Consider the following 27590-nt stretch of genomic DNA (forward strand, 5'->3'; position numbering starts at 1 on the left):
GGTGGGCTTTCCATTCTGACCGTCCCCTCATGCAGTGTCCTTTCTTCTGCCTTGACCGAGGGGTGAGGGCTTCCCTGGAATGCTGTGGCTCTTGAGCCTGTCCACAAGGAGGCCGCCCACAGCCTTCCTGCTCAGTTCATTTTAGGAGCATTAGTGTCGGATTCTTCATACGTCATTTCACAGGTTTCCATATTTCAGCTTTCTAGCACAACGGTTTCTATTTTAGTAGGCTAAGATCTTTCATTCCCCTACTCAGTTCTGTGTTTCTTTGGAGCACTGTGGCTTGGAGCCTTGTGGGGCAGAGTGATTGGTGCCATGTGTTCTTTATCAGGAGTGTAAGGAACAGCCCTAGAGAGGAAATGTGATTTCTTTTTTTTTATTAATGGCATCATGGAACTGAATCAAACTTGCATTTTTGGTTCACACAATAGGACCCAGGTTTGTAGATTAAAAGAATATGCTGTGACTTGTGGAAACTCAACTGGCAACACGGATTATTTGCAGTCCAGCGTTTGTCCAGCCAGTCCCCAAGATGCCAGGACCCGATGGACTCCTGGAATCAGGGATGTGCTGCCTGAAGTCACTAAGGCAAGGGGCTGGGAACAGCTGACAATCCGGGCTCATTGCAGTGTCCCGGCCTCCCCTCCTACAGAGTGGTCCTGGCTGTCTTGAGTGTAAGTGGGCAGGTGCTTGGAAACCTGGGACACACTGTTTTTTGCTTCCAGACCACAAAATAGACACCTTCCACCTTGTGAACTGTTGTGTTCCTCTTTGGACTCCCTTTAGCTGATCAGGGAGGTGACATCAGAACGCAGCGGTCACTGATCCTTAAATCCTTCAAGGTCTGATTGTCAGAGTGCTAAATACCGTAACTTCAGGCGCATTCAGATTTCAACTCTTTTGAATCTTTTTGGTAGACATTGCATTTGCTTTTTGTGAAGTTTAGTTCTTTGACTTTGGTTAACTGTGAACAGGAAACTTTTGGAAAGAACAGAGGCACATGTCAGCTAAATGAAGATGTTTGAGATGGCAAAGATCAAGGGCTTCCTTTTAAGATTTGCTGGTGAGATTTTCCTACTGAGTTGGTACTAGAGGAATCAAATAGGTGAGATCAATGGAGTAGTAAAAGGCTATTTAAGTAAGTCATGAGTTCAGAGCAAGTTCAACCAGAAACTCCACATTTATACAAACCACGCATATACATATGCAAACTTTTCTGGTAAGGCAAAGCCATTTTCAAGTGACTTATAAGACATTTAAGGAAATTGGGCTGGTATAATTTCTCCGATTGTAGTTACTCCTCCCATTCCCATCGTTGTCACTGGTCAAGTCCTGTTCTTTGAAACTTGTTACCTGAGGTCATTTCCCACAGAGTCGACAGCATACTAACATAGCTGGAAATAGGAAATTCAGTCTGAAAATCTGGATGAATTAGGAGTGGGGCAGACAGATTTCATGAACTAAGCTTGAAACATTTCATCTTTAAGTTGAAAATTTCATGAACACATCCTGCAGATGGTTTTTCTACAAGTAGCTACTCTTGGGTCAGGTTGAGGAAGCGTCCACTCTGGCAGATGAGAATTTTATGTTCCTGGGAAACTAACAGCCCTTAAAGGGATTGCCTTGCTGTGGTCTGAGGATGTGCAGTTTCAGCTCCTCCCTTGACAGCTTTGGGTAAAGAACCCTTGTCATCAGGAGGTTGTTCTGGTGCAGGTGAGGCAGCATCTTTTTAAACCCTTAGTAGGTGAAAGAGCTCACTATTTCCCAGAAACTTTTTCTTCCCATACGTTTTACATTATTTTTAAAAAATGGCCGGGTGTGGTGGCTCACGCCTGTAATCCCAGCACTTTCGGAGGCTGAGGCAGGCGGATCATGAGGTCAGGAGTTCGAGAACAGCTTGGCCAATATGGTGAAACCCTTTCTCTACTAAAAATATGAAAAAAAAAAAATTAGCTAGGCGTGGTGGTGCACACCTGTAGTCCCAGCTACCAGGGAGGCTGAGGCAGAACAATCCCTTGAACCCGGGAAGCAGAGGTTGCAGTGAGCCGAGATCGTGCCACTGCGCTCTGGCCTGGGCGACAGACAGAGACTCCGTCTCAAAAAAAAATTCAGTCAGTTTATGTTCAGAACCACTGTAAGTAGGTTGAGGCATTCTGTTTGTGTTCCTTTCAGTCTGGTGAAGCAGCAGTCGTGTTTATGTGCACAGACTTCAGGCATTTTTTTAAATTGCATTTTTCAGCCAGCAAACCCAGAGCCCCTGTGACGCTCGGATCACCATTAGGTGCAGAACCTAAGATTAGTAAGTTTCTATTTGCTGCATTAGGATTGTAAAAGCATAGATCCAACTGGGTGTGAAGGTCCCCACGATATCTGTGAATATACTTGGGTATTAAATTGCAGACAAGTGTTAACAATGAAACACACAATATGTTCTTTGGAAATAAAATAACTTAGTACACATTTAGAAAGGTCTGTGAGTCCCCCACCCGCAACCCCTCCCAAAAAACCCCACCTGAACTAGATGTTGCTTTTGTAACCAGAATCCTGAGTTATTTTGGATTGTGCTGTTTACCAAAGTAATTAAAGATGAATTTATGTATTGGTGCAATGAGCCCTGGAAGACTGCTTTTTGTTTGTTTTTTTGTTTTTTGTTTTCTGGCAGAGAAAATGATGCCTTTGAGATGTATTGTAAAAATATTAAGTTCTGAGGCCAGGGGCTGTCCCTGCCTGGCATGACCCATCACTATCTAGAGCATGTGACAGTGGAGGGGGATGGAACGCCTGCCTTGGGGCTCCAAGCCCAGGCTGTGGCTTGTCCTCCCTGGCCTCTGCTGACTCTGGCCTGGGCAGAAGTGCCCGGATGGCTGCTTCAAAGTCAAAGGCAGAGTTTTCTGAGCCTTCACTTTAGACTCTGCCATGTCCAGTTGGTTCAGAAAATCTTACAAAATGAGTCTGGTATACCCAGCTATAATTTGCCACTTTACAAAAAAACTTTTTAAAAGGAGTCTGTACTATCTGGTTAGATTTGTTAGATCCAAGGGTTTCTATAACAATTTGGCCCCATTCTCTGTAGGCACACGCATGAGAGGCAACAGTGGATGCCTGTGGTCCATTAACCATTACGTGCTGGCAGAGGTTTGGGACTGTAGGGCAAGGGAGACCCAATTTCATGTGCAATGGCTTCCTTGTGAGTAATAGTCCATCGACCACCATTGTAATATCACTGAAATGTCCAAGTCATTTCTTCAGGGTCTGAAAATGCAATGTAGCCTCGCCAGGTGTGTGTCTGGAGTCCCTCAGCTTTCTAGGGATGCTGCCTGTGCAGGGTCCTGACTTGCCAGTGGGCCTGATGAGGCCCCCAACCCCGACTAGGTTGGTTCTTGGGACTTGGGCCAAAGTGTCTGACTTAACTGAAACCAGATAGGGCTGAGTGCTCCTTTATCAGCTACACAGCAGTGGCAAGAATGAGCCACTATTGTGGATGGTGTATTTTAATGTGATTATGTGGAATTTTAAACAGTTCCTTCTAGTAATGTGAAAGAAAAAAACCTCATTTACCTCTGTTTTAAGATTTGCTTGAGGCCAGGTGCAGTGGCTCATGCCTGTAACCCCAGCACTTTGGGAGGCTGAGGCAGGAGGTTCATTTGAGGCCAGGAGTTCAAGACAAGCCCGGAGAACAAAGCAAGATCTCATCTCTATAAAAAAATTTTAAAAATTAGCCAGGCCTGATGGCACACACCCGTAGTCCAAGCTACTCAGGAGGCTTAGGTAGGAGGATCGCTTGAGCCAAGGACTTTGAGGCTGCAGTGAACTATGATGGCACCACTGGACTCCAGCCTGGATGATAGAGTGAGATCCTATTTCTTAACAAAAACAAAACAACAAATTAGAAGAAACATTTGCTTGAGCAACGTGCCTGGTGGAATATTAGGGATGACTAACAGATTTCTGTGAATGTGGTTTTGGCAGTGTTTATTTACACTGAGAACTACTGCAGTCCAAGCCCAGCCTTCAGATGTCTTCTTGGTTTTTAAACAGGGTAATTCTATCCTTGTGGCTTGAAAATGTCTGTTCAATTCTGAGGATTTTCTTGTACTTTTTGTTGCTGCATGACTGTATGGTGGTGTTTCTGTATGTATTACACCTACAAATTGTGGAACCAAAGCCCTGATTTGAATACAGAATGTAAGCGATGTAGTACTTTAAAAGGGATCGCTGAAGGGGAAGGGGGATGAAGAGGAGTTGGTTAATGGGTACAAATATACAGTTAGATAGAAGGAATATGTTTAATATGTGGTAGTACTGGAGGGAAAGTATAGTTCACAGTAATTTACTGTGTATTTAAAAGTAGCCAGAAGAGAAAATTTGTAATGTTTTCAACACCAAGATAATCGTTCGAGATGATGGATAGCCCAGTTACCCTGATATGATCATCACACATGTACAGGTATCAAAATAGCACATGTAGCCCCAAATATGTACAACTATTATATATCTATTAAAGATTTAAAATAAAAGTGATCACTATGTCTACGAACATTTTTTGGTGCTCACAATCGGGGAGAGGGTGTGATTCTGGCATCTAGTGGTAGAGCCCCTGGGTGCTGCTAAACAGATCCTCATAATAAAGAATTATTTGACCTAAACCTGTTACAGGAAAAACCTTAGACAAACTAAATTTAACAGAGTTTAACCAAGCAAAGAACTATTCATGAGTCAGGCAGCCTGCGAACTAGAATAGATTCAGAGAGGCTTCCGGTGCAACCAAGTGGTAGAAGAAGATTCATGAACAGAAAAAGCCAAGTGACATACAGAAAATGGAAGTGAGGTACAGAAACAACCGGATTGGTTACAGCTTATTGCCTTATTTAAAGCTGATTTCAACAGTTGGCTGCCTGTGATTGGCTGAAACTCAATGATTGGCACAAATGTAGGTTACAGTCTGTTTACATATCCAGTTAGGTTACAGTTCACTATGTACAGAAAAACCTTTAGGCCACACTTAAAATATGTAAGGAGACAGCTTTAGGATATCCTTAACAAACCTCACTGCTGAGGTTAAAAACCCTGAGTATTGGCTGGGCGTGGTGGCTCACACCTATAATCCCAGCACTTTGGAAGGCCGAGAGGCAGGTGGGTCATTTGAAGTCAGGAGTTCGAAGCCAGCCTGGCCAACATGGTGAAACCTCATCTCTACTAAAAATACAAAAATTAGCCAGGCGTGGTGGCTCACCCCTGCCGTCCCAGCTATTCGGGAGGCTGAGGCAGGAGAATCGCTTAAGCCCAGGAGGTGGAGGTTGCAGTGAGCCGAGATCGCACAACTGCACTACAGCCTGGGTGACAGAGTGAGTCTCCATCTCAAAAAAACAAAAAACAAAAAACAAAACAAAACAAACCCCGAGTATTATGCCAAAGTAGATTTCCTGATTTTGACAATGTACTATGATTACGGAAGACATTTTCATTGTGGAAAGCTGCGTGAAGGGGATATGGGATCTCTGTGTGCTATTTCTGCAATTTCTTGTGAGTTTTAAACCATTTCACAATAAGAGTTACAATAATAAAAACTAAACAAAGAAACTGCCACTAGGTGGGTGCAGTAGCTCATGCCTGTAATCTCAGCACTTTGGGAAACTGAGGTGGGAGGATTGCTTGAGGCCAGGAGTTTGAGACCAGCCAGGACAACATAGTGAGACCCTATATCTACAAAAAATTTAAAAATTAGCTGGTTGTAGTGGCGCACACCTGTAGCCCCAGCTACTTGAGAGGCTGAGGTAGGAGGATTGCTTGAGCCTGGGAGGTAGAGGCCACAGTGAGTTATGATCATTTCACTGCACTCCAGTCTGGTGACAGAGCAAGACTGTTTCAAAAAAACAAACACAAAAATCCAACCCTACCACTGAGAAGTGTATAAAGCATTGGTGAAGAAGTACCCTTAGCTATGGGGGAGGTGGCCTGTGTGGGGATGAGACACTGGCTCTAGGACAGCCAGGCCTGCAGTTGCCACCAGCTCACCCCTGGCTAGCCAAGTGCTTTCAGATAAGACCCTTAAAATAGTGTGAGTGAGTTTTCATGCTTGCAAAATAGGGGCGGTAACTCCTGCCTAATATAGATTGTTGTGAGCACTGAGGGAAGTTAGTTGTGAAGTGCCAAGCAAGCCGTTGGTCTCAACATCTTTCTCTTTTCCCTCTGGCCTCTGCCAGTTTGGTTTTTGCTGATTTTATTCTGAGGATAAACACTGTCTGGCTCCAGCTGAATGTAGGAAGCATAACTGAATCTTCCAGTTGGGAGAACAAATGATAGTAGCCCTGAGTGTGCTAACCAGACAAACTGTTTTTGTTACCTGGGCAGAAAGTATCCATTTGCTTCTTGTCCACATGGTGGGACGCTCTTAGTTTGTTTTCTGTTGCTTATAACAGAATACTTGGAACTGGATAATTTATAAAGAAAGGGAATTCATGTCTTATAGTTATGGAGACTGTGGAGTCCAAGGTGAAGGAGCTGCATGCGGTGAGGGCCTTCTTGCTGGTGGAGACTCTCTGCAGAATTCTGAGGTGACGCAGAGCGTCACATGGTGAGGGGGCCGAGCAGGCTTGCTCAGGTTTCTCTCCCTCTTCTTAGAAAGCCAACAGTCTAATATATCTATATGTTTGAGACAGGGTCTTGTTCTGTCACCCAGGCTGGAGTGCAGTGGCACGATCATGGCTCATGGCAGCCACCAGTCTAATATACCTATATGTTTGAGACAGGGTCTTGTTCTGTCACCCAGGCTGGAGTGCAGTGGCACGATTATGGCTCATGGCAGCTAAAGTGATGGGCTAAAGTGATCCTCCAGCCTCCAGCCCCAGCCTCCTAAGTAGCTGGGACTACAGGCATGAGCCACCGCACCTGGATCATTTTTGTTGATTTTTTGTAGAGATGGCATCTCACTATGTTGTCCAGGCTGGTCTCTAATTCCTGAGCTCAAGGAATCCTCCTGCCTCAGCCTTCTAAAGTGCTGGGATTAGAGGCAAGAGCCACTGTACCCGGCCAATAAATTAATATATTAATGGATTAATCTATTCATGATGGCAGAGCCTGCACGACCCAATCACCTCTTAAAGGCCCATTCTCTCAATACTGCCACTTTGGGATTCAGTTTCAACAGGAGCAATGAAGGGAGACAAATATTCAAACCACCGCAGATGTGTATTAAGCATGCACATTGTTACGACATCATACACATGCTGTACATACACTAATATCACTTACATACACTGCGTTTCCTTACAACAGCCTCTTCAGAGATTATCCACCCGATCTAAAGCAGCTACTCTTGAGGGGCCTCCTGTTTGGTGTCTGTTCTTTTTGTTTGGTGTGTGTTTTTATACAAAAAAAATTCTTTTTAGAGATAGGATCTTGCTATGTTGCCCAGCTTGGCCTTGAACTCCTGGGACAGGCAGAGTCCTCCTGCCTTGGCTTCCTGAGTGGCTGGGACTACAGGGGTGCACCACTGCACCCAGCTTGGACCTTAATTTATACGGACAACTCCACGCCTACATCTACAGATAGTCTCTGCGCTTACACATCCTGCTCCGTTCCGAACCCAGCCAGCTCCACACATGTAAGGAAATGGCATTTTCTTCATTCAGATGGACCCTCAGCCTCCCCAAAGTTGGCACTGTGAGTCTCTGGTAGGGCAGGCCCAGCAGGCACGTGGCTCTGCTCTGCTCGGGAGTGATGTAGGGCCAGGCTGCCTTTGGCTGCAGGCTGCCCACAGCAGAGAGCTGCTTCTCATCCTAGGCTTGGCCCAGAGATCCCCGCTTCACATCAATGCCATTCTCATGAGCAAACCCATTTACACATACCCTCGGAGTGGGCCTGTCCCTATGCAAACCTGTTTGGCAGTATCTCCTGAACCAGAACAACCCCATGATCCGAAATTCCACCTAGGTACAGGAGTGTGTACACACGAGCACCAGGAGACACGCACAAGAATATTGACGGTGGCATTATCTGTCATAGTCAAAAGCTGGAAACAATGCATGCTGCAACAGCCCATCTGAGGCAGGGTGGGCAGAACCGGGTGAGGGAGGTACACGTCCACGCGCCTCATCTTACATCACCCGAGGCACACACCCATCAGTACCATGGCGGGCAGAACCCCTGGTGTTCTCACTTGCCAACTGTGTCTCTCCCTTGCTGAGGGGAATGGCTGCTTTCCACTTGGTTAGGTACTCATAGGATGTGATGCCACTTTCCTGGATGACTTTACTCAATCCTAACTCTCAGATGGGGAGTGGGCTGGAGGAACACCTATTCTTCACATCTGGTTGCCGAGAGGACTTTTCCCATATTTGTGGTCTCTTCCCCTCCACCAACACCCCCAGTGCTGCTCACAGTGACCCGCTTGGTGGGTGACAGCCATTGTCCACACTGACTGGTGGCATAAGCGCATCTCTCAGAGGTTCTGAGGGTGGGTGGGTCACGGCTTTCTTGTCTCTCTTCTTGTACCAGTGGGGGCTACAATCTGGGCAGTGCATCTGCTTTGCAGACTCATGTTTCCCTTGGATTTGAAGGGGTTAGTTGAAGGTATATACTTATATAATTTTTTTTTTTTTAAAGACAGGGTCTCACTCTGTTACCCAGGCTGGAGTGCAGAGGCATGATCTCGGCTCACTGCAACCTCCACCTCCTGGGCTCAAGCGATCTTCCTAGCTCAGCCTCCCGAGTAGCTGGGACCACTATAGCACGTGCCACCACACTCGGCTAATTAAAAAAAAAATCTATTTCTCTATCTATCTATCTATCTATCTATCTATCTATCTATATTTTATAGCGATGAGGCCTCACTATATTGCCCAAGCTGATCTTGAATTACTGTGCTCAAGTGATCCTCCTGCCTTGGCCTCCCAAAGTGCTGGGATAGAACCAATTTTGACTCTAATGTTGTTCCTTGTAGCCTATGTCAATTATCAGGATGACATTCTGTCTCTATGATCTTCATATTTTTTATTTCTTTTGTTTTGAGATGGGGTCTTGCTATGTTGCCCAGGCTGGCCTTGAACTCCTGGCCTCGAGCAATCCTCCCACCTTGGCTTCCTGAGTTGCTGGGATTACAGGTGTGAGTCACCGCACCTGGCACATCACTCCTAGTTTACAGCTGAAGAAATTGACTGTCAGAAAGGTTGAGTCATGTGCCAGGAAGTAAGAGCCTGAGCTTGGATTTGAACCCAGGTCAATCTGACCCAGATCCACTGCTCTGAACCATCTACTCATCAAACAAATACACACACAGAGAAGACAGCGTATCTGCACTTGATCCACAGGAAGGACATTTTGCTTGGGTGCCTCCTCTCCTCCTTGGTCTCTCCTCAGGATGCAGCCCTAGACATTTAGACCTGTCAATGTCTGGACCAGAGGCCAGTGTCCCTCTCTTTACCATCTTGGACCTGTCGTGGCTCTTCTGCAGGACTCAGCAGGACGCGGTCCCCTTCTCAGTAGGGAACTTACCTACTAAAAAATGGGAACTTACCTCTTGCAGGCCTCAATATGGCTCCATATTTCAATAAAACCCAGCATGTGCCAAACTGCAAGTTACAGAAACTGATACAAGCCAGCGTCAGCAAGGAGGGGAGTTGGCTCATGGATGCTGGGTTCTTGCCTGGAATCTAAGGGCCATGGGGCCTCTCCAGGGCCTGGAAGCCAGGACGTATGGAGCCCTGGAACCAGCAGGAACGGTCCCTGCCTCATCTCTGCTCTCTGAGGTTGCATACGTCTCTCCTTCCAGAGCGGATTTCTCTTCTCCCCTGTCTACATGATGGATGGAAGATGACTGCTCTGGACCTCCCAGGCCTGTGTCACTTGAGCTCCAGCAAGAATCCCAGACAGAAACAGCAGCTCTCACTCCTAGTTCTAAGAGAAAGTACTTCGCCTACTTGGGGACAGGTGTCATCCCAGTTCCATCAGCTGTGGTTAGAGGTGGGGGTGGGGTCATGATGCAAAATGGTGGTCAAGAACCCCCAACTCCTGTTGTGAGGGATCAAAAGGGGTTCCTGTGAGCTTGGCTGACACCCCCAATGTCTCTACTGCAACCAGGACTCTGCAAAACACAGGCATACAGCGATGAGTGAGGTGTGGGCCTGTGGACGTGTGTTCCTGTTAAGGGGATGTGCTGTTGCCTCTTATTTCAGTGAGGGGCAGTCCCCCTGCCAGTCTTTCAGGATCAAAGTGCTGGTGTTATCTTTGCTTCGCCCCCATCCTTTATTCTGTGTCTCCATTGCTCATCAAGTCCATCATTTGGAAATGCCTTTTGGATTCATTCTTTCTTCTCCATCTGACCCACACAGACACTGCCCCGTCCTCTGCCAGCCCCTAGTCCCCTTACGTCTCCGTGCCTGCCACAGGGCCCTAGCTGGTCTCCCTACCCTCTCAGTGGCCACTCTGTGTATCTCTCCCTAGCTGCTCCACTGCACATCGCTGCCGTACATCGCTGTTCCCTTGCATAGCAGCTCCCTTCCCCACCACATAACCCCCACACCCCTTATCCTAGCATTTATGGCTCAGGTAGAAGTAGTTCCTCCTTCTGAATATTACTCCCTCCCTCTTCCAGCCCTATTTTATCTGTGCCTCTCCCAGGGAATTTACAGAACTCGTACAGCTATTTACATACATGTCTTAAGGACAACGCAAAACGTTCTGTGATTAAGGGATGAATCCATGTTTGGTCCATTTCTTCATCCCCTAAGGTATCTGGCAGTTTCTAGAAGGAATGACAGAGGAGCTAATAGTTATTGCTTACTGTGTATTAAACCTCGTGAAAGAACTTTGTGTTACGCACTGAAAATCCTTATAGCAACCCTGCAAAGTAGGTATTTGATTAACTCATTTTTATGAATGAGGAAACAGAAATTTGGTGAAGCTACTTGCTCAGGATCTCACCACCAGGAAGTGGCAGGGCTGGAAGATGAAGGAATGAATGACTTTCTAGGATGTCCATACCTGGGGGCTGCATATAGTTGACCTGCTCTTATTTTCTCAACAAGAAGCCTCTATGAACCAGGATTCAGGCAACATCACACAGCCAGCTAGTGGCTGGGCTGGGGTTAGAGTCCCTCGTACATGAAGACATTCACCAGCTCAGACTGTCCCATCCAGTGACTAGTTTCTTTTCACCATCCTCAAAACTACCACCACACCATTTTATCTTTCCCTCTCTCTTTTTTTTCACTCTGTCCCCTAGCCTAGAGTGCAGTGGTGCAATCATGGCTCACTTGACCTCCTGGGCTCAAGTGGTCCTCCTGCCTCAGCCTCCCGATTAGTTGGGACTACAGGCAAAACACGAAAACACTACATCCAACTAATGCTTTCTTTTTTTTTTTTTTTTGGAGAGTTATGTTGCCTAGGCTGGTCTTGAACTCCTGGCCTCAAGCAGTCCTCTTGCTTCGTCCTTCCAAAGTGTTGGGATTAAAGGTGTGAGCCATTGCACCTGGCCTGATTTTTTTTTTAAAGACATGTTTTATATTTTCAGTAGTTTGAGCTATTGAGCTACCCTTTCTCTACTTTGGACAAGCTTCTATTTATACAGAACCACAAGGAAGTGTTGGTTATGTTTTAAGTATGTTAATGTATGCTAAACTTGGCAAATTAATAATTTTAAACACATTACATGCTTGAAATATGAATGGAAGAGTGTCTTTGGCAATTCTTGACAAGACTCTTAGCCTCAGCATTGTAGTCCTTGGTCATACATCCTGTATGTGCTGTGCAAATCACACATGTGCATGTAAATGAAATGCTCCTTTAAGACTAGAACCAATTGTATTGTTATTAAACGGTCTCTGTATTCAAGACTGATGAAGTCACATGAATTCACTAGGTAACTGACAGGAAGTTCTAGTGAAATGTTTCAACAATATTTAACTGACACTCCCAAACAAAGGAAATAAAGTACCTCTCTGGCTGATGGAAGAAAAAGGTTTCTATTTAGTACCATTGGACTAAGAAAGCTTATCACTTTATTAGGAAGAGAAAGCGGACCATTTCTAGGCAGGTATTTTCTTGCAGAAGCAGCCTCTCACTGGAAGTCTTGCATCCCTGTGGAGGTACAGCCAGAATGCCTCATGAACAACACGGGCCACGCTGTGGTCAGCACAGGTGTGGTTAGCCTGAGACCGGCTACTCAGGCTCCAAGTGCAGTTCCAGCTCTATTGGTGTCAGTCATTCTTGTCATCTAATTTCAAGACAGCACGACACTGACTTCGCTTTTACTGCTGTGGTGTCAACGATCCCCCAGGTAAAGAATATAGTCCATTGACCTCTGAGAGTTTTCCTTCTGGGTTCTCTTCAGGGTCTTTGAAGTCAAAACTCTGCCCTTGAGCAAAAGCAGCTGCATCCATCCTATTCCCCAAATGGATATCAACACGAGAAGCCATTTTCATCCATGGTTCCCTGTGGCACTAATTAGAGCTGCAGAAAGATTGAAAAGTGAAGATCGTATTGTTCTCAGAGGTGAGCTGAGCCACCGTCCACATAGACTTTAGGTAAACTCTCCAAGAAAGCCTGCTGAATCGTAAGCCATTGCTTTCTCCATCAAGTTCCAGTTTTTCTCTAGATCATTTTGTAACAACTGGCAAACACAGAAGAAGCGGGGAGGCATCTGTCAACTCGGGGTTGCACATGGCACGGCTCCTGTTGGCTGTTCTTCTGTTCGTAATAATGAATATCCACTCGGGTTCTGCCAGCTTCATCTTTGTGATCTCAGCAAATGTGTACATTCCAGAGATCCAGGAAAGATGGCTGCTTCATGGAGCTTCTGAATCACCCTGGGCTACTGACACACAGCCACTGGCACAGGTTCACAGAGCTAACATTTGATCACGTGGGTTCAGACCCTACTTATCAAGGGACTTCTCATCCACGACTGTGGGCAGGTCCTTGGGGACAGGGAAGCTTTCTCCTTCTGCTTTTTGATCCGTTATCTTTTCTTCAGCTTCTGCTGTTATTTATAGGTTCGCTTCAATATCTGAGATATTTTTTTTTTTTTTTTTTTTTTTGAGACAAGAGTCTCACTCTGTCACCCAGGCTGGAGTTCAGTGGCGTGATCCCGGCTCATTGCAACCTCTGCCTCTGGCTTCAAGCAATTCTCTGCCTCAGTCTCCTGAGTAGCTGGGATTACAGGCGCCCACTGCCACGCCTGGCTAATTTTTTTTGTATCTTTAGGAGAGATGGGGTTTCACCATGTTGGCCAGGCTGGTCTTGAACTCCTGACATCGTGGTCCATCCACCTCGGCTTCCCAAAGTGCTGGGATTACAGGTGTGAGCCACCACACCTGGAGGAGATATTCTTTAATCTAGAAAGCAAATACTAGTTTATATGAAGTACTTAGCAAAAAAAAAAAAAAAAGCTAATTTTCTACAAATGTATATTTTCTGTATACTTGTTGATATTTTACTGTGCTTTTATTTTCAGTCTTAGAAACAGGCAGCCAATATATAGAGCAACCTTCCTCAAACTTTTAATGTTAATCTCATGACCAAAGTAGAGAATCTCCCCCCACCAGCCCTCCTCTTCCAATCGAACTTACACACAAAGAGCTTTGCCTAAAGCAGGAAGTTATTTGCTCTACAGAGTTACGGGTAAAATCTTTATAAGGGTCTTTCGAGTTGTTTTATCCCAGTTATTTTTTTTTTTTTAGACAGGGTATCACTCTGTCATCCAGGCTGGAGTGCAGTGGTGCGATCATGGCTCACTGCAACCTCCGCCTTCCAGGCTCAAGTGATCCTCCCACCTCAGGCTCCAGAGTAGCTAGGACAACAGTTGCATGCCACCACACCCAGCTAATTTTTGTATTTTCTGTATAGACAGGGTTTCACTATGTTGCCCAGGCTGGTCTCGAACTCCTGAGCTCAAGTGATCTGCCCACTTCGGCCTCTCAAAGTGCTGAGATTACCAGGTATGAGCCACCACACCCAACTCCAGTGATTTTTAAAAATTATTAAATGGATAAACAATTTCCTGGGAAGAAAAGAGCTACCCTTTCTCTACTTTGAAGAAAAGATAAATTCATCGAGTCTGGGCTTTCTGTTTGAAGTTGAGGTTGTTCGAAGTCAGCAGTGGGGACAAAATTCCAGACAGTGGCTGCTCCTGTCTGGTCTCAGCCAGAGCCCCTTCTTAGTTCCTCAGGCCCTGCTCCTGAGACTCCTCCTAGACTCCCTGCAGCCCTCAGGCCTGGTCTCCTCATCCAATCAATCACCAAGTTCTGCTGACTCGACTTTTTCTTTTCTTTCTGGTTGGCCAGCCCTTCCATCTGTAGGACACGTGATGACTGTTTCGACTGTTTCTCCAGGACTTGTTCTCTAAAGGGAGTGACCAGTATTCTGAAGATATTTGTGGAAATGTCCCCATACAGGAGACCTGCAGTTTTGGCCGTTTGTCTGCCTACTCTTTGGTTTGCTATGTGGCCCTGAGAAAGTAATACATTAATACATTAATACAGAGATGCTCTCTGTATTAGTTTGCTGTTACTTCATAATAATCTACCTCCAAACTCAGTGACTAATGTAACAGTTAATTATTTAGCACATGTCTGAGGGGTGGCTGAATATGACTGACCTAAGCTAGACCAGGCTAGGGGACTCTGTGGACTTTCTCGCGCATCGGCAGGTGGGCTGGGGAGCTCGGGCTGTGCTCAGCTGGGGCAGCTCTGCTCCAGGTTTCCTGTCCTCCTTCAATGGCGGCCCACCCCAGCCAGTTCTCAGGGTGATGCTGACTCTGCTTCTGTTCAGCTGTTGCCTCTTGGTGAAGTCACCATCGCTTGCCTGGAATGCCACACCCAATCCCCCACTCCTCCGAAAAGCTGGTCTCCCTGCATCTCTCCCAGTGTATCCCCTCAAAAGCAGACAATGTGACCTTTTAAAAAATACAAACTTCGGTCGGGGGCGGTGGCTCACGCCTGTAATCCCAGCACTTTGGGAGGCCGAGGCAGGCGGATCATCTGGGGTCAGGAGTTCAAGAGCAGCCTGGCCAACATGGCGAAATCCTGTGTCTACTAAAAAATATAAAACTTAGCTGGGCATGGTGGCGTGCGCCTGTAGTCCCAGCTACTCAGGAGGCTGAGGCAGGAGAATTGCTTGAACCCGGGAGGCAGAGGTTGTAGTGAGCTGAGATTATGCCACTGCACTCCAGCCTGGGCAACAGAGCGAGACTCTGTCTCAAAAAAACAAAACAAAACAAAACAAAAACCTCATCTTGCCTAAAAACTCCCGAGTTGCTCACCATCCTTAGGCTGAGGCTCCAAGGCCGTCCACGATGTGGAAAGAGCCCTCTTCCTTGGCTGCCACCATCCCAGACTCCCTTTAGTTCTTTGCATGGAACTACCCTCTCCCCCAATTAAGGGCTTTGCATGTGCTGTTCCTCCTGCCTAGAGAGCTCCTCTCCCCACCTTCACACAGCCAATCCTCATCATTAATTTGCACGTGTAAATATCCCCTGGGGAGCCCTTCCCTGGCCCGTCCCATCGGCTCTGGCAGCACTCATATTTCCCTCTTTGTAACATTCATAAGACTTGTCATTTTCTTCTCAGATTTCCCTGCTAGACACAGGCTTTATGAAGGTACGTCTGTCTTGTTCACTGGTTGCTCCCTGGCACCTGGCACCTGGCACTAGGTGGCCTTAGTCAATACTGAGTGAATAAATGAATGAGTGAAAGGGGTTTAGGGGAAAGGCCCTGACTCTGTACGTGATCTGCAGATGTTCAGGCTCTTTGTTTTAACACCTGAAGATTTGAGGGTTGGACTAGGTGAGCTCTGATGTTTGTCATCTTTGTAGGCTTCACCCTCTGCCTGTCCCTTTTGCTCCTGGATGATGGTGGGTTGTATGGTGGGGCTTGAGATTAACGGGAGAGGCTGTGGATGAAGGGAGTTAAAGGTCACTGCTACTTAGTTAGCAGCAGGACGGAGTATACCTAAAGCAATCTAGCCAATTCTTTCAGTTCCAAAATCCAGATTCCAACAGCCATCAGAACAACACAGCCCTGTACTTGGCCGTGCAAGATCTCCCAGCTATTATGTCATGACAGCCAGCCCAGCCCAGAGCTGTCTCTGAAAGTCTAGGATATAGCCTTGCTCGGCCAATGAGTTCTGCCTGGGAAGTTAACTAATGATAGTAGTTCTCATTTGCTCAATATTAGTGCTGCAAAGTGATCTCCAGACCCCAGCCCGGATCCTATCTTCAAAGCAGGCACAAGTTCTAGAGAGTTCTGTGAGGCTGGCCATGATGGATGTTGGAGTTGCCCACATTCCCCTCAGTTGGTGCATAGTCAAGGAGGTGGAATACTTCCCTAGAGAAACACCAGGGGTCACCCCCATGGGAATGCCACTTTATTCGAAGCTCTAGCATCAATATTGGGTCATCTCAGTTGGGGAGTACCCAGTGCCAGGCTCTGCCTGCCAGATATACACCTGAAAGGTGGAGGACCAAGGCCTGTTTGTGGCGTTTCCTGCCACAGAATTCGGATTTGTATCTTTCTGCAGATTCCAAAGGCATAGTTAATTTTACAAAATTAAGTCTGCATTAGCAAGGCTTTGGGCATGTTCAAACCCATTCATGCAGTTTAATGAACACAAAAGCAACCTGCTGTTACAGCCTGCAGCCCACGTTAAGTTTGGGTGGACTGCCTCATTGCGTAAAACCTGGGGGAGTGGGAGAAGTCTCCTCTGGAGCTGTTATCTTGCCGGCAATTTGATGCCTTCAGCACGGAGGTTCAAATCTGGACTTCGGTTCCAAGTAGCAGTTGCTTAAATTAAGTATAAATCAGCAGTGCCGTGCGTTAGTAGCGTGGTTGGATGCATTCACTGCTGAGTGACCACGAACTCCACTGCACTGATGCAAGGTGGAAAACCTGAGCCAGAGCCACACACAGGGCTGGGCTGGGCGGCTCTGCCCCGTGACAGTCAGCTGAAGGGAGTGATTATACTTGCCACATCACCTCCGTTCACTGTCCACCGAACAGCTCTCCCCCAATTAGGGCTTTGCATATGCTCTAACACTGCAGCTCCCAGGCAGGAACTGGTTAGAGGGTAAGAGATCTGGGACTTGCTAAGAGCTTCATTATTTTCACAGATGCTCAGGACTTTATCCTGAAATTGGCAGGGGGTGGTGGTTCATGCCTGTAATACCAGCACTTTGGGGGGCCGAGGAGTTCAAGACCAGCCTGGCCAACATAGTGAAACCCCGTCTCTATTAAAAATACAAAAAATTAGCTGGGCGTGGTGGCAGGCCCCTGTAATCCCAGCTACTCGGGAGGCTGAGGCAGGAGAATGGCTTGAACCCAGGAGGTGGAGGTTGCAGTGAGCCAAGATCGCACCGCTGCACTCCAGCCTGGGTGACAGAGCGAGACTCCATCTCAAAAAAAAAGACTTTATCCTGAAATCAAAAGTTGTACTGCCAAATAGAATGGCTACACGTTACATCTATTTGAACGCATCATTGCAGCAAATCTATGCTCTCTAAAAGCGACTGGAAGACATGAGTTCTCATATGAGGGTGAGAAGAACACGGGCTCAGACAGTGCGTACTCACTCCCATGACCGTCGGAGTTAAAATGAGGGGGTGACAGTGCTGCAGCTATTCCAGGACCGGTGCTATTTATAGGAGCCTGTTCCAAACCTTAACCCACAGATACCAAATCCACTGAGCACTGTATGCAAAGGGAAACAAGAAACCGCTCTGCCAGGTCTGGTCCCTCGTAAACTCCCCAGATGACAAGCAAGTTATTTAATATGTTCTTTCTATGTTTGGAATGAATCTGTTTCCAAGAATAAAAGCATACAAACAATATCTTTATTACCTGTAATATACTTAAAGAGCAGGGGTCCCCAGTTGGTTAAACATTGAAAACAGTGGGAGAGCTTCAGAATAGAGAAAAATGACTGTGCCTCACCCCTCACTTACTGAGTCAGAATCTGCAGAGAGGGAAGTGCTGAGAGATGTCTTTTTAAAAAGCTCTCCAACTCTCCAGGTGCTTCTGTCCACCAGCCAGATTTGGGCACCGGTGCTGCCCAGCATGCCCCAGGCTTCAGGGTATGGGAGTCGCCCTGGGCTTGGGTCAGGCTGGGGCTCTCTCATTCACCAGGTGTGGGGAGGGGCTTGAGCCTGCATTTCCAGCAAATTCCCAGGTGGGGCTGAGGTTGCTGATCTGCAGTGCTCCATCTCTGGGTGTGTACCTACACACCCGTCACCTTTGTTGTACTGGGCTCAGGTATAAGTTGCAGGGTGCACCGTGTATCCCCGTAGCCCTGCCCTACTCCATGCTGCCCCCAGTCTCAAGTGGTGCTTGAACTTGCCTTCACCAAGGCAGTTCTCGTCTCAGAGTTGAACCCTCCCTGAGGGCCCCCAACAGCCCTCTCCAGGCCTTGTATCAGTAGGAAATGAAAATGCATTAATTGGGAGGGGTTTATCTGGGGTCAAAGGCTCAGGGAGATCATTCTTTTTATTGCCAAGGACCAAGAAACAAAGTGTAGAAATGCTATACACAATGGTCATGAGCTACAAGGTAGGAATGGGGTGCAGGGGAGACGTGGTAACACACAGCACTATTCTGAACGAACTCCAGCTCTCCATTCTAACACTTGAACCAAGGAAAGACAGCAGTCCTTTTTCACTAAGCCTGCAACAGAATGCAAATGTGACTTGGTTTATCAGCTCCCACAGGACAGGCAGCGCAAAAGGCTATTGTAAGCTGGTTTTGGGAGCCCCCATCTCAAACAGAGAGTGGATGCTGAAGGTGGTCCCTGGCCGCCACTGGTGGCTGGTCCCCGGCTTGCTAGGTCCTGGGCATGTCTCGATTCTCAATGATCAGCTTGTCAGTTGAATACAGTTGGCCAATGTGGACCTGAAGGCAAAGAAAGGACACAGGTCAGGAACCGTGGCCCTCTAGCCCCTGGGAAAGGCCAGAAGGAACATTTCCTAACATTTCTAATACAAACGTCGGCCATCCCAGGGCTGCTCCCTTCCGGCAACTGCACTGCGGGGCAAAGCCGGCCACTAGAGCACCATCCAACCCCCGTTTCCCTCACTGTGAGAAGTTACAGAGATCCACACACCCATTCCTCCCCTCTGAAACAGCACAGGAGGCTGCAGCCTGGGACTCGGGGCTGTGCTGAGCTGGGTGACGCCTGCCTGCTGGTGGCAGAGCTGTCAGATGTGTGCCCAGTACCTCCTCTCCTAAGAGGGCTTCCTTCCCTTAGAACTGATTCTCGCATAGGGAAGGGGTTTTAGAACAGTGCAGAAATGGGCGCCGTCTATGCTGGGGTAGGAAAAGCGCTGCATTCAGGGCAATGCAGACACCTGTCCGTGGCCCATCCCGGGTGGGGTCGAGGGCAGTTGTCTGAGTGCCTGCACCTCCTGCCTTCTATCTTTCCTGCCCCCTTCTTTTTAAAGTGTCCTTTTTATTAAGTGTCTTAATGCCCAATGTTTCCACTGTCCCAGGTGGATGCTGGAGCCATCCTCTGGGGCTAGAGCAGGTCTTTCCTCTGCAACAAAGGGTCTTGCCACAGTTTTTCTGTAAAGCATTTCCTGAGTGATACATTTTTAAGAACAAGTGGAATGGGTGAAGGAAGGGCTGATCATTAGCAACTCTATCTGGATTTCAGACCAGTTGGTCACTATCTATGGGTAATTCGGGGTGAGTAACTGCTGTTTAAGCAAACAGAGCAGCCAGGGGTCAACATCCTCATGGTTTTCCTCCCCGATCTTAGTGCTCTATTTCGAAGTGAAGGCCCCGGACAGAAGGCGATCATGTCATTACTACAGCATGTGTTAAAGAGCAGTGCTCTGTCACCAAGGACCGCCGCGCCGTCCATCTGAGGTGTCCTGTTTTCCATGCCATTTGCTCGGTCTTCAGTCTGCCCTTGCACAGAGGTATCTTGAAGGTCCGTGGCATGGATAATAACTAAGTGTTGCGGTGCAAGAGAAAGCGAAGGAAGAGGCGAGAGCAGCACGTCATCTAAGAAGAACGAGAAGTAGACAGTGGAGATATGGGGGATGGGGGGATCTTGCAGGTATTTTTAAATGCAAGTGAATGTCCTAATTAAAAACCAAAAGAGGTAGGTAGGAGTTATGGGAAGGGGGTGTAGAGAATGAGTGCTCCTAACAAGTCACAGTGATGAGCTTTGCTACTGTGTCTTCAGTCGTCCTTTCCTCTCATTAATATAGAGAAGACTTTGGACGCAAGTGGATGGGGAGGGTCTGGGGTGCTGCGTTTCTCGCAACCTGCAGGTAATGCTGATGCTGCTGGTCCACGGGCCACACTTTAGGTGGCAAGGTCGGAAATCATCTTGAGGGCTGTGAGGAGCCGCACTGGTTTTCTCAGGGGCTACGGTACAGTCACGATGAATGCAGCACAGGGACTTTCTGGCCTTCCCTTCTGGACAACCTGAAATAGCTGCTGGGTGAGCTGAAGCCATCTATACCCTACTACAGAGAAGGGGAGGATTGGCATTGTCCTCCACCCTGAATAGTACATGGTTTTGTTTTCATATATTAACCTCAACAGATAGATGAACCCACTATCAAATGATATTGAGAAAAGAAAGGCTAGAATACCAATGATCCTTAAAAAAAAGGGAACCATTACTTTTTGGATAATTAAAACTAGGCTAATACAAACAGTTTTGTATAACAGCTGGGATGGTTCAGCTACCTGGGAGCTTGTTCTGTATTTAATTGATCTCAGGGGATTCACCAGGAACCTGTCCTAGAAGTGTCCACAATCGGACATTCACGAGTACTTGACAGAGTTTACCGTCATCTTCTCAAGGCTTTAGTAGCAGGCAGGAGTTATGGGACGGCATAAGAAGAAACCTGTTCAAAAATGCAATGGGCTGGCTTGGGAAGCTGTGAGTTCTCTGTCCCCGTGAGGAGCAGAAAGTGAGGATGGAGAAGGAAGGTATATGCTAGACCAGGGCTGAACCAGATGGATTCCTTCCAACTCTCAGCTTCTGTGATTACAGGCACTGTCCACGGCTCCGGGATCCATCTGGGACGCCTCTAATGACAGCCGCGTGGTCTCTGAATGACCCCGTGTTGATCCACATGTTCTGCTTCTGGCACTCTGGAAGGAAAGGTGGCACCCTGGAAAGGCCCTGGGATGGGTGGGGGCAGGAGGAACAGGACAGCTGGGCTGCAGCTTGGGTGGCTCTGCCACTTGCCATGTGAGACTCTTCACTTCCTCTCGTCTCAGTTCCTTGCCTGTGGGATGAGGTCTGGAAACTTCTAGGTGATCTTTATGGTCCTTTGCAGCTCCAGCAGTCTTTGGGCCCTCAACAAAGCTGGCCAGAGTCAAGAGAAAGATGTGTGAGATCCCCAACCAGTACAGCACCTACATGGCATGGGAGTCCCTAGGGCGCTGGTGGGAACCTGGCCAAGGGACAGTCGTGGCAGACAGGGAGGGGAGAAATGTGTTGCAGTAGCAGGAGGGGTGACTGGCTTCCTGCCCCCTCCGGAAGGGAGGGCGCTCTTCTGTCCACCCGTTCGCTGCCTGCAGCCTGGGCGGCACGCTCGCGAAGCCCGTGCTCCTCTTTGCAGCCACCTGGGCCATCTGTGTGGTCTGTGTGTGGTCCCTATGAGGTCATGTGCTCCAGTTCATGTCTGTCTTCCCTTCTCCACCCCCCTGAGAGCCCCTCAAAGGCAGGACTGGTGAACACTGCTTTCTGTGTCCCTGGGCCTCGCACAGTCCTGGTAGACAACACTGCTCAGCAGATCTGTGATGAGCGAGCGAGCGAAGGAATCTGAGCCCAATGCACTGAGAGCAAATGGCTCTGCCGCGAAGACAGACAGGCAGGCAGGGCTCTTTCCTACAAGTGAAAGGCATACACAGAACACAATGCACAGGTGTTTAAAGACCCAGAAAACCTGAAGGAGCCCTGGAGGAGCAGCTCAAGCCCTGAGTCATTCTGCAGACAAGCAGTGAGCACCTCCTGCTCCAGGCACCTTGTGCGGGTGAGACTTTCAGATGTGATCAATGGCTGCAGAAATCTCTGAGTCAGGAAGGGAAAACTGACAAGAACTGAGATAAATGACCTAGCATCTGGAATGTGCTAGCATGAGGAGGGCACGCAGGACTAGAGGGATCTAGAAGATGTGACTCAGCCTAGGGAGTCAGTGAAGACTTCTCAGAGGAGACAGCCTCAAGGGAGGAAGAGCTCAGAGGCCCAGAGGCTGGAGCTGGGGCAGGGTAAGAAGCCCATGACACGATTGGACGTGGAGACTGCCAGAGACAGAAATGGGCTGAGTGTGGATAGAGAAGGGTGAGGGTGAGGATGGGGGTGGAGAAGGCAGAGAAGAGAGAATAAAAGAGAAGTGGGGTAGGGCCAGAACACAGATGCCATGCTCCACTTGGAGGGAATGGAAAGCTGCTAAAATGTTAAAAATGGAGGACCAACCCACCCAGATCTGTGGTTAAAAAGATCACCTTGTCTTCAGGTCAAGGCGAAGAAGAGGTGGAGAGTTGTGGCGAGGGGACCCAGTTAAGGGGCCAGTAAGAGTGCAGGTGAGGATGGGTGCAGTGGCTTACGCCTATAATTCCAGCACTTCGGGAGGTCGAGACGGGTGGATCACGAGGTCACAAGTCTGAGACCAGCCTGACCAACACGGTGAAACCCTGTCTCTACTAAAAATATATAGGCCATGGTGGCACGCGCCAATAATCCCAGCTACTCAGGAGGCTGAGGCAGAAGAATGGTTTGAACCTGGGAGGTGGAGGTTGCTGAGATCACGCCACTGCACTCCAGCCTGGGTGACAGAGCGAGATTCCGTTATCTAAAAGAAAAAGAGTGCAGGTGAGAGGTGATTCCAGCTTGGAAGGAGGAGTGGCAGAAGTTATAGACGGGCAGCCAGAGGAATACGTGGGTGCTGCCCTGAAGGGGGACCCACCCTTGCAAGTTCAAGACTGCTGCAGGTGGATGCTGTAAGAATCACTGCCCTCAGTTTTTGTTGAAGAATGAAGGCCCAGAAAAATCAATCCATATAGACACAAAGACATGAACCCCAGATCTTCTGATCTCTGTCCAGTGCTTTCTCCAAAATGCTGCTCCTCTACCAGGTCCCAACAATTTCTTCCTTTCTTTTCTCTCTCTCTTTTTTTTTTTTTTAGAGACAGGTTCTCACTATGTTGCCCAGGCTGGTCTTGAACTCCTGGGCTTAAGTGATCCTCCTGCCTCAGCCTCCCAAGTAGCTGGGATTACAGGCATGTGCCGCCATGCCTGGCTAATCAATGATTTCTTCATAATGCGAATTACACATCACTATAACTATGAGCCTACGTTATGAAAATTTGAGATAACCACATGAGATAACTGTGGCCTGCCCAGCATCCATCTCTCCATTTTCCTTATGGGGTCAGTGCACATCTAGAAGTTTACACTCTCCAGACTCCTGTGCAGCTAGAGGTGGCCAATGAGGTGTCAGCTGTCATCATGGCTGGAGCATCTAGGACAGTTCTTTGAAGTGGGCTGCCTCAGACTGGGGGCACTCAAGTGCCTGCCCGCCCTCCAGTTTGTCTCCGTTCTGCCTGGAATATGAACTTGATAGCTGGAACACCAGCAGCCATCTAGCACTGTAAGATAAGTTTGATATGGGAGCTACACGCTAAGACTGGGGGGCAGAAAGGTGGAGACTGAGTGCTTGATGACCATGGAGCCACCATGCCAGCTCTGGACGCCTTATTGCCAGCTTTCTTTTATGTGTGAGAAAAATAAACCTCCATCTTTTAAAAGCTCCTGTTACTTGGGTTTCTTGCTACACACAGCTAAACCAATCCTTACTGACTTGAATGCACAATGAGAATTTTAATGTGAGATCATAGGACTAATGAAACGAAGGCCGGTGCAGAGAAGGGGGTGATCTGTGCCCCGTGGCAAGTGGAAAAAATGTCCCTATCACCTGGGGAGGTGCAATTAACAGGTACCTATTGTAGCTGTTTCCAAAGTTTAAAAAAGCTACACAGGAAATTATAAAGATTCTGTTCTTTCTCTCTTTAAATCAGGGGTGTCCAATCTTTTTGCTTCCCTGGGCCACACTAGAAGAAGAATTGTCTTGGGCCACACATAAAATACACTAACACTAACGAAAGCTGATGAGCTAAAAGGAAAAAAAAAAAATCGCAAAAAAAAAAATCTCATGTTTTAAGTTTACGAATTTGTGTTGGGCCACATTCAAAGCCATCCTGGACTGCACGTGGCCCGCAGGCTGTGGGTTGGACAAGCTTGCTCTAAATATTTAGTTGCATTTGGATATGTGGCTATTAATAGTTTGGTATTTTTGTCTAGTCTGTTAAATCACATATAGATTTAAAACGTGGTGTATATATACACAATATTTACATGTGGGATCATAGCATAACTTGCTTTTTAACTTCATATTATGATGCTTATATCATTAACTGTTCTTTTAAGGAATATTTTCAGTAACTGTATAATACTCCATTGTAAAGATATATCACAATCTATTTAATCACTCCCATATGATGAACATTTAGACTGTTTCCACTTAATGCTAGGATTATCATTCTTATATATAACCTTTTATTAAATCTGATTTTTTCCTTATAAAAGGTTTCTAGAAGTAGAATTGTTGGATAAACAGATATGAATATTTTGATGGTTACTGATGGATCTTGCAAAACTACTTTCCAGAAGGTCTGTTTGTCCGGCTGACGCTCCCTCTGGTGGCCCCTTTGAAGGCTTTGGCGGCACACTTATCATGCCGCAGAACAAACACGCTTCTCCCCATGTAGCTCCCTGTGTGAGCTCTGTGTGCTAAAGGCCGTATTCTCTATGCGGCGGCTAGAACAAGAACACGGGATTCTCCTGTTGTGTGGCCCTCTGCTGCGTTCCTTACCAAAGCCCCCATTACAGCAGTTACCATCATGTCTATTTCACAAAGTCCACCAATCTAGAGGATGAAAATTCTAGGGGAGGGGTGCCCTCCCGTAAGGCATGTAGCTGTGAGGTGGGATCAGCCCCATGGAAAAGACCCCACAGGAAACCCACAGAATAAAGAACTGGGGGGCAATCTGAAGAGCCAAGTTTCAGGAAACTTGAAATCAAAACAAACCAAATTTATAGTCTGCTTTGACAGAAGTTTGAATTAAATTTAAAAAAAACCCATTCCAGTATGACAATTTTATGGCCCTTGGGGGGAAAAGAACTAATGACATCAGGTCTTACAATGTGAATGGTATTAAGAGGATACAGAGATGCGTGTCTGTCTGATACATATACTGCATATATTGGGGCCACCCACATGGTCCCTATACTGAAATGGTAAGTGGGCCTGCCTCAGTTCCCCTACATGAGCATCGGTGACTGAGGGGAGGAGGGAGAAGGGATCATGTTACTTGACTTAGGTGCCTTCAAAGCACAGTTTAGGACAGTGCCAGACACATAGGAAGTGCTCAGAAAGTACCTAACAACTAAAAATATCAGTCCCATACTCCATGGTTCTGAGGGTCTGTGCTCACTGACTCTAAAATCCGGAGAGATGAGTGACTACAGAGTGCTCTGATGGTAAGCCACAAGTGGAAATACAGAACTGATGAAGACAAGTGAATAAAAACAGCGGTAGGACCATTTACTGCAAAAAGAATGTTCACTGACCATTAAGTGAAATCAAATGATTTAAATTTGGCCCAGCAGAGGGTTTAAGGCTAGAATCCGGGGGATTCTATATGGGATTTTCAGAGCCATTACAGAAGAAGAAGGGGAAATACTCAGTTCACACAGGGAGGAAATATTAAAAAGTTATCTCAGTGAGGGGTAAGGAGTTGAGGCAGTAAATGTTTGTGTAACAGTTCTCTTGCATTTATTTGGGCTGTAAAATGTGCCAGCACACAACGGGAGGCTAGCCGGGATTGCTGCCGTGGTGCTAATGGCAGAGAACGATGCTCCAAGCTGCAGGTGTGAGGGTCTGGTCAACGGAAGTAAGGTAGTGCAATTAACACCTTCAAGTTACAGTCCCTCCAGAATCCCAAATTGACTTATACAGCCACATCAGACTATTACTGTGCATAAATTGGTCATTAAAGCTGATCACACTTTTATTCTATTAAGTTTAGGGAGTTGGCATTAGAGTCCATTGGAAAAGTACACAGATTACTCAGCTGCCAGTAGCTGGGGATGACTAGATGGCCCAGAAACACTTAAGAGCTCTGAGACTCATTAGACAAATAACCTGCAGGGGAGGAAGGAGCAGGATATCAGAAAATACAATTGGGCACAATGTTTCAGGTCTTCACCGCTTCCTCTTCTGAAGCAATGCACAGCCATCCCCGCAACACATCTCTATCTGATGGGGGTCCCAGAAGCTGGGCGCAGTTGCCAGGGGAGTGGGTGGGGAAGGTGGGGAACGGATGCAGCCCTGGGCTGGAATCCCTACTCCTGCCTCTGCCACTTCCTGCCTATTTCGCAGAGTTGTTATGGGAATCAAACAAAACACTAGATATGAAGAAAATCTACCATTTTCCCCAGTTCCTTCCCAGGGCCCAAACATATGAAATGTCCTAACGCTACTGGGAGGATTAAACAAGCACAGTGCCAGGCACCTGGCAAGAGCCTGCTAAGCGTTACTTACATGCACAGACTTGTGCTAGGCCTGTCTCTGTCAAGATGCGTATCATGGGCGGGGCGCGGTGGCTCACGCCTGTAATCCCAGCACTTTAAGAGCCCGAGGTGGGTGGATCACGAGGTCAAGAGATTGAGACCATCCTGGCAAACATGGTGAAACGCTGTCTCTACTAAAAATACAAAGATTAGCTGGGTGTGATGGTGTGCGCCTGTAATCGCAGCTACTCGGGAGGCTGAGGCAGGAGAATCGCTTGAACCTGGGAGGCAGAGGTTGCAGTGAGCCGAGATCGCACTCCAGCCTGGTGACAGAGCGAGACTCTGTCTCAAAAAAAAAAAAAAATTGTTCTCCTGGGGATTTGGGACTTAGCTTAAAGGGGCTTTTGTAGCCAGAATATTTCTTGGAAGTCTCGTATTGATCTTCATGTAAATGGTGTACTCTGCTCTATAGCATATTTATGCCTATTTTTGTATACAAATGTTTTCCCTGCCAGATGTGGTAGGGAAACCCACCTTGGTACACAACTGTAGTCCCAGCTACTCAGGAATCTAAGGTGGGAAGGTTGCTTGAGCCCAGGAGTTCGAGGCTGTAGTGCTCTACGATCTCGCCTGTGAATAAATACTGCACTCTAGTCTCAGCAACATAGCAAGACCCAGTCTCTTAACAGTTTTTTTTTCCTCCAAGTTGACAAGTAACCCTGACCCTCCAAAACGACGCACTGTTTTTACCCTGTTGCCTTTGAGTACCTTCTGATACACCCAGTTTCAGAAGCATATTTTTAAGACACTGCACTTTCCTAAGATAGCTACACTTTCATGGGGGCTTTGGAAGGCCAAAAAAACCCCTTAAGTCACCAAAACAATATATATATATATATTTTTGTTTTGTTTTGTTTTGTTTTTTTTTTTGAGACAGAGTCTCACTCTGTCATCCAGGCTGCAGTGCTGTGGTGTGCTCTCAGCTCGCTGCAACCTCCACCTCCTCACCTCCT

General features: G+C 47.2%; 1 protein-coding gene and 1 long non-coding RNA gene across 9 annotated transcripts in view, besides 2 other annotated features; one reads left to right on the forward strand and one right to left on the reverse strand.

The window, feature by feature from the left end:
- LYRM4-AS1 (LYRM4 antisense RNA 1) overlaps positions 1-27590 on the forward strand; it is a 236681-nt gene that overhangs the window by 86804 nt on the left and 122287 nt on the right. The gene's annotated exons all lie outside the window — the stretch shown is intronic.
- Positions 1-27590, reverse strand: part of LYRM4 (LYR motif containing 4) — a 229198-nt gene that overhangs the window by 58867 nt on the left and 142741 nt on the right. For 3 of the 8 annotated variants that reach the window (NR_104418.1, NM_020408.6, NM_001164841.3), the window contains one exon: positions 17800-18872. The exons of 4 other annotated variants lie outside the window; for them this stretch is intronic. Coding sequence is in view for 1 of the 4 variants with exons in the window: in NM_020408.6 (NP_065141.3) it covers positions 18804-18872 (69 nt within the window). In the remaining 3 variants the exon portion in view is untranslated. Of the gene's footprint in view, positions 1-17799; positions 18873-22451; positions 22799-27590 lie in introns of those variants that run through there. One more of the 8 variants, NR_104417.2, reaches the window with a different exon arrangement.
- Positions 4908-4957: an enhancer, noted in NCBI's record as "active region_23901". NCBI's record gives its function as "activates an Ori minimal core promoter by ATAC-STARR-seq in GM12878 lymphoblastoid cells {active_cell/tissue: GM12878}" and the evidence as "EXISTENCE:reporter gene assay evidence [ECO:0000049][PMID:35858748]".
- Positions 26522-26722: a silencer, noted in NCBI's record as "peak5632 fragment used in MPRA reporter construct". NCBI's record gives its function as "represses an SCP1 promoter by STARR-seq MPRAs in K562 erythroleukemia cells {active_cell/tissue: K562}" and the evidence as "EXISTENCE:reporter gene assay evidence [ECO:0000049][PMID:32103011]".

Source organism: Homo sapiens, chromosome 6 (assembly GCF_000001405.40).
Source record: "Homo sapiens chromosome 6, GRCh38.p14 Primary Assembly".
Taxonomy (NCBI): domain Eukaryota; kingdom Metazoa; phylum Chordata; class Mammalia; order Primates; family Hominidae; genus Homo; species Homo sapiens.